Source organism: Homo sapiens, chromosome 2, assembly GCF_000001405.40.
Source record: "Homo sapiens chromosome 2, GRCh38.p14 Primary Assembly".
NCBI lineage: Eukaryota > Metazoa > Chordata > Mammalia > Primates > Hominidae > Homo > Homo sapiens.
The window spans coordinates 238,710,816-238,719,355 of record NC_000002.12 but is presented as its reverse complement, the minus strand read 5'-3'; the positions used below and the strand labels follow the sequence as shown (position 1 = coordinate 238,719,355).

The following is an 8,540-nucleotide window of genomic DNA, read 5'->3' as shown; positions in this document are numbered from 1 at the left end:
TCCAGGAGTTTGAGATCAGCCTGGGTAATGTAGTGAGACCCCATCTCTACAAGAAATGTAAAAATTAACCAGGTGTGGTGGAGCATGCTTGTAGTCCTGCTACTTGGGAGGCTGAGGCAGGAGAATCGCTTGAGTCTAGGATGTCCAGGCTACAGGGAGCCATGTCATTGCACTCCAGCCTGGGTGACAGAGTGAGACCCTACCTCAAAAACAAAAAAACTATGTTGCCTCAGAATTCACAACTTTTCTGGAAACTGTGAGGCTCTTGGGAAAGTATTTGTGTGCCTGTGTTGGGGGTTTAGATATATGAATTTTTCACATGATGTTGGCGTATGCAGCAATGCAACATTTCAAGGTCTGGAATCCCTTTACTGGTTTAAGAATATTAAAAGTTAACTGAATTTTCTCTAAAATCATCATATCTGATATGTTTACATGAAAAATCATTTTTTCTTGAAATCTAGTAATTTTTAAAAAATAATTAGTTCTGTGCAGAAGCTCTTTAGTTTAATTAGATCCCATTTGTCAATTTTGTCTTTTGTTGCCATTGCTTTTGGTGTTTTGGACATGAAGTCCTTGCCCACGCCTATGTCCTGAATGGTAATGCCTAGGTTTTCTTCTAGGGTTTTTATGGTTTTAGGTTTAACGTTTAAATCTTTAATCCATCTTGAATTGATTTTTGTATAAGGTGTAAGGAAGGGATCCAGTTTCAGCTTTCTACATATGGCTAGCCAGTTTTCCCAGCACCATTTATTAAATAGGGAATCCTTTCCCCATTGCTTGTTTTTCTCAGGTTTGTCAAAGATCAGATAGTTGTAGATATGCGGCATTATTTCTGAGGGCTCTGTTCTGTTCCATTGATCTATATCTCTGTTTTGGTACCAGTACCATGCTGTTTTGGTTACTGTAGCCTTGTAGTATAGTTTGAAGTCAGGTAGTGTGATGCCTCCAGCTTTGTTCTTTTGGCTTAGGATTGACTTGGCAATGCGGGCTCTTTTTTGGTTCCATATGAACTTTAAAGTAGTTTTTTCCAATTCTGTGAAGAAAGTCATTGGTAGCTTGATGGGGATGGCATTCAATCTGTAAATTACCTTGGGCAGTATGGCCATTTTCACGATATTGATTCTTCCTACCCATGAGCATGGAATGTTCTTCCATTTGTTTGTCTCCTCTTTTATTTCCTTGAGCAGTGGTTTGTAGTTCTCCTTGAAGAGGTCCTTCACATCCCTTGTAAGTTGGATTCCTAGGTATTTTATTCTCTTTGAAGCAATTGTGAATGGGAGTTCACCCAAATGAGTATAAATCATGCTGCTATAAAGACACATGCACACGTATGTTTATTGCGGCACTATTCACAATAGCAAAGACTTGGAACCAACCCAAATGTCCAACAATGATAGACTGGATTAAGAAAATGTGGCACATATACACCATGGAATACTATGCAGCCATAAAAAATGATGAGTTCATATCCTTTGTAGGGACATGGATGAAATTGGAAACCATCATTCTCAGTAAACTATCGCAAGAACAAAAAACCAAACACCGCATATTCTCACTCATAGGTGGGAATTGAACAATGAGATCACATGGACACAGGAAGGGGAATATCACACTCTGGGGACTGTGGTGGGGTCGGGGGAGGGGGGAGGGATAGCATTGGGAGATATACCTAATGCTAGATGACACATTAGTGGGTGCAGCGCACCAGCATGGCACATGTATACATATGTAACTAACCTGCACAATGTGCACATGTACCCTAAAACTTAGAGTATAATAAAAAAAAAAAAAGAAAAAGAAAAAAAAATAATAATAATAATTAGTTCTTAGAGTCTCCTTTCGAAAAAAATATTCCTGACCTTCAGGAGTCCACCTGCCCTGCTCTGCCAGCAGAACTGTAAAGAAGCATCATCCTCCCGGGCTCCAGAGGCTCCATGGCCCGTGCCGCTTCTCCTGCTGTGAACCCTGTTCCCGTCCCTCCCCGTGCCCGTCTGTCCTTCCCATCCAGAGCCACCTCTTCCCCTTCCAGGGGCTGATGAGGACATCTGCTCTGACCAATCCCTGAGGGTCCCTGCCCCAGTCACTGTCACCCTCCACTGAAATCACAGCTTGAAATGCTGTTCCCCGCACTGAGGCCTTCCTCCAGGAAGCCGGAGTCACGCCTGCTCTGCCCATCCCTCCTTACCCAGGGCCCAGCTGTGTTGGGCAAGGAGTGGTGTGAAAGAAATGGTAAAGGAGCCCCTGGGGGAAGAAGGGAGGGGGTGGAAGGCAAAAGAGGGGCGGGAGAGGGCTGAGAAAATGCGAAAGGAACAGGACCTTAGAAAGGAACAGGACCTTAGAGAAAATGTGGAAGGAACAGTACCTTAGAAAGGAACAGGACCTTTCTCTTACAGAGTCTCTCTCTGTGTTCCCGAAAGAAGCACTGCTCCTTGATCACGGGGCCTTGGCGGGTAGCTCTCCTGGTCCCGCGGCCCCGCTGCTCTCCTGGACACATTTCTTCCCTTGCAGGGGCTCCTCCATTGGTGCTGCCTCTCACCCCACCCCCAACCCTCAACTCCGTGCTGTTTGCTCACCTGCCCCTCCTCCTCTCCACCTCTCACCACGCCGTCACCACAGAGACCTAGACGACGCATCCGATCAGACAAGCTTGGAAAACCCCCTAGAACTCAGACAGAGTGAAGAAATGAAGACGCCGAGAAGACAGACTGGAGGCGCATGGAATAAGCAAGATAAAGTTCCAGGAGGATAGGATTCGGGCATCGGTGCACAGCGGGTCTCGTCGGGTGGGAATCCATGGTCTGAGATGAGATGCTGGGAAAAGGGCTTCCCAAGCTGAGTAAAGGTCGTAAAGGAGTCACAGGGCACCAGGAAAGATGAATCGAATGCCCCACCTGCATTTATTCTGGTGAAATGTTTGAATGAAGAGGAAAATGTTCATCCATGTTGTCACATATAACAGGATTCTCTTCCTTTTTAAGACTGAACCGTCCCGGTGTACATAAGACATTACGCGAAGGGAAACCGGTCAGCCACAGGACATATTCTACGTGATTCTGATCATATGAGGCACCTCAAGTAGCGAAGCTCTTAGACACAGGAAGCGGAATGGTGGCTGCCAGGAACTGGGGGAGTTCCATGCGGTGGACAATGATATAATGATTTTCCCGTGTGAGAAAAAAGACAACTGCCTGTGCAACCTCAGACTGGTGCCACACTTGTTATTCTTGTTATTGACTTCGCAGCCAGTGATGATCTCAAAACAATGCTGTAATCCTCTCCATTTCTCCTTTACAAACCTTTGTCCTTCCTTACCTCCCTGGGTATGCACACAGCTTACTGTGGCATGCATATCCCCACTGCAATACTCTATTCCCAAATCAGTACCATTTTCTCTTACAGAGTCTCTCTCTGTTGTTTAGGTTGACAGCACACGTCAGAAACATTGAGAAGAGGAACAGACCCAAGCATGAATGAGGTGAGGACCTGATATTTGAAACAAGACAGCCCATCCAATCAGTGAGCAGAGGATGGGCTAAATGACTAACTCCTTGGAGGAAAACAAGGTTGCATTCTCTGCCATAATGGTAGGCAAATTCCAGATTACTTAAGGAGCCAAATTAAAAAAAGAATTCTATATAGGTACTCAAAAAATAAAGAAATATATTAATAATCATGGGGTAGAGAAAATTCCTAAATACACTAACTCCAGAAGGTATAAAAGAAAGGTTTAACAGATTACGCAAAAAAAAAAAAAAAATTAACAGATTTTTAAAATAAAGTTAAAAGACAAGTGACAGCTTTTATGGAAATATTCACAATATATGAAAGAAAAAATGGGTATCTATGATTTATACAAAAGGCTGCAACAATCCAAAGAAAAAAGATAACTCAAAACATTGGCAAAGGATATGAATAAGCATTTTATTAAAGAAAGAAAAAGACAGATGACCAATACATACGTGAAAAGAAGCTAACCTTATTTCTAGTTAAAGAAATGCAGATTTGAACAGCTATTGTATTTACATCTGTTTTTATAAGTGCATGCATACATACATGTACATATGTGTGTATATGTGTATGTGTATGTGTCTACATACCATACACATCTATACATTTGCCTATAACATTAGCAAAATGTATAAATAATGGTAATATTCACTGGTGACCAGAGAGTAGGAAACAAGTGCTCTATCACGTAGGATTGTAGGATTACAGATCAATAAAACCATTTTGGAAATTAACTTGGCAATACCTATTAGCATTTCAAATGTGGAGATACTCTAATCCAATAGTTCCACATTTAGGAATGTACCATAGACAAATAATAAATGAGTGAATAAAGTTGTAGGCATAATGATATTAACTTCAACATGAGTGGCAATAAAAAAGGTTGAAAAGAGGCTGGGGATGGTGGCTCATGCCTGTAATCCCAGCACTTTGGGAGGCCGAGGCAGATGGATCACCTGAGGTTAGGAGTTCAAGAACAGCCTGGCCAGCATGGTGAAACCCCATCTCTACTAAAAATACAAAAATTAGTCGAGCCTGGTGGCGTGTGCCTGTAGTCCCAGCTACTTGGGAGGCTGAAGCAGGAGAATCGCTTGAACCTGGAAGGCAAAGGTTGCCGTGAGTGGAGATTGTGCCACTGCACTCCAGCCTGGGCAACAGAGTAAGACTCTGTCTCAAAAGAGTGAGGCTCCGTCTCAAGAAAAAAAAAAAGGGTTGGAAAAATGCCAAGTGTCCATCATTAGGGAATGGTCACATACATTTTGCTCATATTCAGGAATCCTATGCATTGGGGAATTTCCTTTCTCGTTCCTTGGAGTTTCTGTGTAGACAGAGGTTGCTTCAGGTAACAGTCCCAGCATGTCTCTGCCCTTCTTCAATCCCAGAGAAGGAAGCCTGAGTTCTAGTTGGCAGATTTGGAACAGGACCTGAGCATGCATCTTTTTCCTGGCTCATGGCCAGGCCAGACCCTGAGCTTAGCAATCGAGGCCCCTGCTGCTGGGGCGGGGTCTTCGGGGCGCAGGTCTTCCAGCAACTGCACAGCCTCAGAGCAGTGCCCCCAAAGCACGTTCTTCAGCAGCCCCAGTCTGGAAAGGGGTCAATGCGACCTCTGGCTGCCTCGCTGTTCCTCCACTCTCAGTGGGTTCTGAGTCATAACTCTCAGAAGAAAGAGGCTGGCTCCTACTTCTCGAAATGGGAAGGTATTTATGATGTCCATAATAAATTTTAAAAGCAAGTTAAAGATGATATGTAGAGAATAAATTCTGTTTTTGCTTTACACGTGGGGTGTGTATGTGTGTATGTGTGTGTGTGTGGTGTGTGTGTTTGCGTGTGTGTGTATCTGTGCGTGTGGTGTGTATGTGTGTATATGTGGGTGTGTGTATTTGCATGTGTGGTGTATTTGTGTCTGTGTATATTTGTGTGTATGTGTGTGTGATGTGTGTATATGTGTGCGTGTATTTGTGTGTGTGGTGTATGTGTGTATTTGTGTGTGTGTATTTGTGTGTGGTGTGTGTGTACTTGTGTGTGTGGTGTGTGTATGTGTATTTGTGTGTATGTCCGTGTATTTGTGTGTGGTGTGTGTGTATGTGGGTATTTGTGTGTGTATGGTGCGTGTGTATGTGTGTGTGGTGTGTGTGCGTATTTGTGTATTTTTGTGTGTGTGGTGTGTGTGTGGTGTGTATTTGTGCATGTCTGTGGTATTTGTGTGTGTGGTATTTTTGTGTGTGGTGTGTGTGTATGTGTATGTGGTTGTGTGTGTGGTATGTGTATGTGTGGCGTGTGGTGTGTGTGTGGTGTAGTGTATGTGTACTTGTGTGTGTGTGGTGTATGTGTATTTGTGTGTATGTGCGTGTGTGTATTTGTGTGTGGTGTATATGGGTATTTGTGTGTGTATGGTGTGTATGAGTGTGTATTTGTGTGTGGTGTGTGTGTATTTGCGTGTGTATTTGTGTGCTGTGTGGTGTGTGTGGTATGTGTGTGGTGTGTGTATTTTTGTGTATGTGGTGTGTATTTGTGTGGTGTGTGTGTGGTGTGTGTGGTTTGTGGTGTGTGTGGTTTGTGTGGTGTGTGTGTGCTGTGTATGTGTGTGGTTGTGTGGTGTGTGTGTGCTGTGTGTGTATGTGTGGTGAGTGTGGTGTGTGTATGTGTGGCGTGTGTGTGTGGTGTGTGGTTGTGTGTGTGCATTCACATACAGGTCCATTTACAGATACATGAATTCACATACAGAATACCTCTGGGAGGAGTCTCTTTACGCCAAGTTATTAATAACAGTGGTGGCTGCAGGCAGGAGAGGGGATGTTTGAGATGCAAAGAGGATTTTCATTTTTGTACTTTATTTGCTTCTTGATAATTTAGTAGGATTGTGGATTATTTTTCTATTTAGAGAAAAACTAACTTTAAAACAAAGAGTAAACATCTTACATATAGCAACAAGATTTGAAATCATTGCTTTATGCTCATAGGAAGAGCAAAAATATCCCTATGTTAACAATGCAAGCAACCTACTGCATGGACTTTACATCATCTTATTTGATTTGATTAGAGATGTCAGTCCTTTACTTAGTGAGGCTTATGTCTTAACAGGATTCATTTTCATATCTGGATCTCCAAGCACTTCAGTTAAAGGTGAAGAGCCGCCTTCTCCCAGGTGTTGCAGTAGATCAGGAGCTGCACTGTCAGAAGGGATGGGCACCACGCGGAGACTGTCCACTCCCTGCAGTGCACAGCACGATGAAGACTTACTGAATTGCACCTAAACATATCAACAACCCACTGATAAAGCTTGGACATTTGTCCCCTTCAAACCTCGTGTTGAAATTTCATCGCCAATGTTGGAGGTGAGGTACAATGGGAGGTGTTTGGGTGATGGGTGAGGATCCCTCATGAACGTCCTGGTTGGGTCATGGGTGAGGATCCCTCATGAGCATCTTGGTGCAGTCCTTGAGGCAAGGAGTGAGTTCTCGCTCTGTTAGTTCCATGAGAACTGATTTTGTAGAAGAGCCTGGCACCACTCCCACCCCTTGCTTCCATTCTCACCATGTGCTCTTTGCACATGTCAGCTTCCCTTCACCTTCCACCATGAGCGGAAGCAGCCTGAACCCCAGAATCAGCCTGAATCACCAGATGCAGGTGCCGGCGCCATGCTTCTTGCACAGCCTGCAGAACCAGAAGCCAAATAAACCTCTTTTCTGTATAAATTGCCCAGCTTCAGACATTCCTTTACAACAACACAAGTGGACTAAGATGCCAGTGTATCTTCTTCCAGTTTGCTATGACAGCCCCACTTTGGTGGAGGCACTGGCCAGCTTCTCTCTGGCCCCATCATTTGGGTCTTTTGATTTGCCCACTTCACAGATAGCTCCCTCCCAACCTGAAACAGACTATGGATGGTTGGCACTGCTTGGCTTGTCCTGCCATGTGATCACAATTCTTCATATCTTCCAGAAGTTTCTAAAAAAAAAATATCTGGGCCTTAAAACCACGCACCCTTGTTAGATTTTTTTCATTTGCACATTTTTTTGTCATTTTGATAAGAATGAGGAGAGCAGATAAACTCATAGGATTCATTCTCATTGAAAAAATAAAATTCCAATCAATTTTGGAAATGGAATTCTTACTGAATAAAACAATACCTGTCCTTTCTGTTACAGCCCATCTTGGTGAAGACAGCCTGTCTGTCCACAGGGAGAACCAGGAGAAGCCCAAGTGGTCTTGACTCTGACTCGCTCCAGGCGTCTCCTGTTGATCAATGCCACAGTCCTCCTCCAGGTGCCCTACCTGCAGTTTGGCAGGCTCGATTCTCTCTCTCTGGGATCTCGTATATTCTCCTGACACTGACCTTCACAGGCTCCCACAGTGACTCCTGGCCACCACCGTCTGGCTCTCTGAGCCATCTCCACTGGTCAGAGGCACCCCCCCAGCACCCACCCCAACCCTGTGTTAAATCAAAGACCCCCACAGTGCTCTGTTTCTAACAAAGTTTCTTCTAGGAAAGCACTTCTTAGATTTATAATTTTGTATGTAATATTGTGAAGTCAGGAAGAAAATGTGAAGAGTTCAAGCATCTTTTCTGGATCATCCGAGGAAAACAGTTCAAGATTTCCAATAATAGTAAAAACATCAAACAGATATCTCAGAGGTTTCTATGAACCAGACAATGAAGTAAGTTTATTATCATATAATATCTTATTTGACTCCCAAAACAACTCTGTGATGTAGAGACTGTCATGGGCGAAGCTCGGGAGGCGGTTGCCTGTATGAAGTCTCCCTTAAACTCACCCTTCCATGCTGTTCTATGTGGGCGCAGCCAAGTGCTGCATGACCCTTTCAGTCTAGTGTGATTGTAAGGACTGCATGTTATTTAAGAGTTGCAGTCTCCAGAGGCCCCAGCATTGGCTCACACATACAATAGGTGTCCAATTAACAATTGTTGCATGAATTGTTGCAGAGGTCACCTGTGACCCTTGGGTGGGCAGGGTGCAGAGTGACACTATCAAGAGTTACTGGAGCATCTTATAGGCAAACTCTATCTC

The 8,540-nt window shown here is 43.9% G+C and overlaps 1 long non-coding RNA gene across 1 annotated transcript; it reads left to right on the top strand.

Moving 5' to 3' along the window:
• Positions 1-3,421: 3,421 nt before the first annotated feature.
• LOC105373963 (uncharacterized) lies at positions 3,422-7,856 on the top strand. The gene is made up of 3 exons (XR_001739237.1): positions 3,422-3,478; positions 6,592-6,845; positions 7,659-7,856. It is a non-coding gene; the product is annotated as an uncharacterized LOC105373963 (long non-coding RNA).
• The last annotated feature ends 684 nt before the right edge of the window (positions 7,857-8,540 follow it).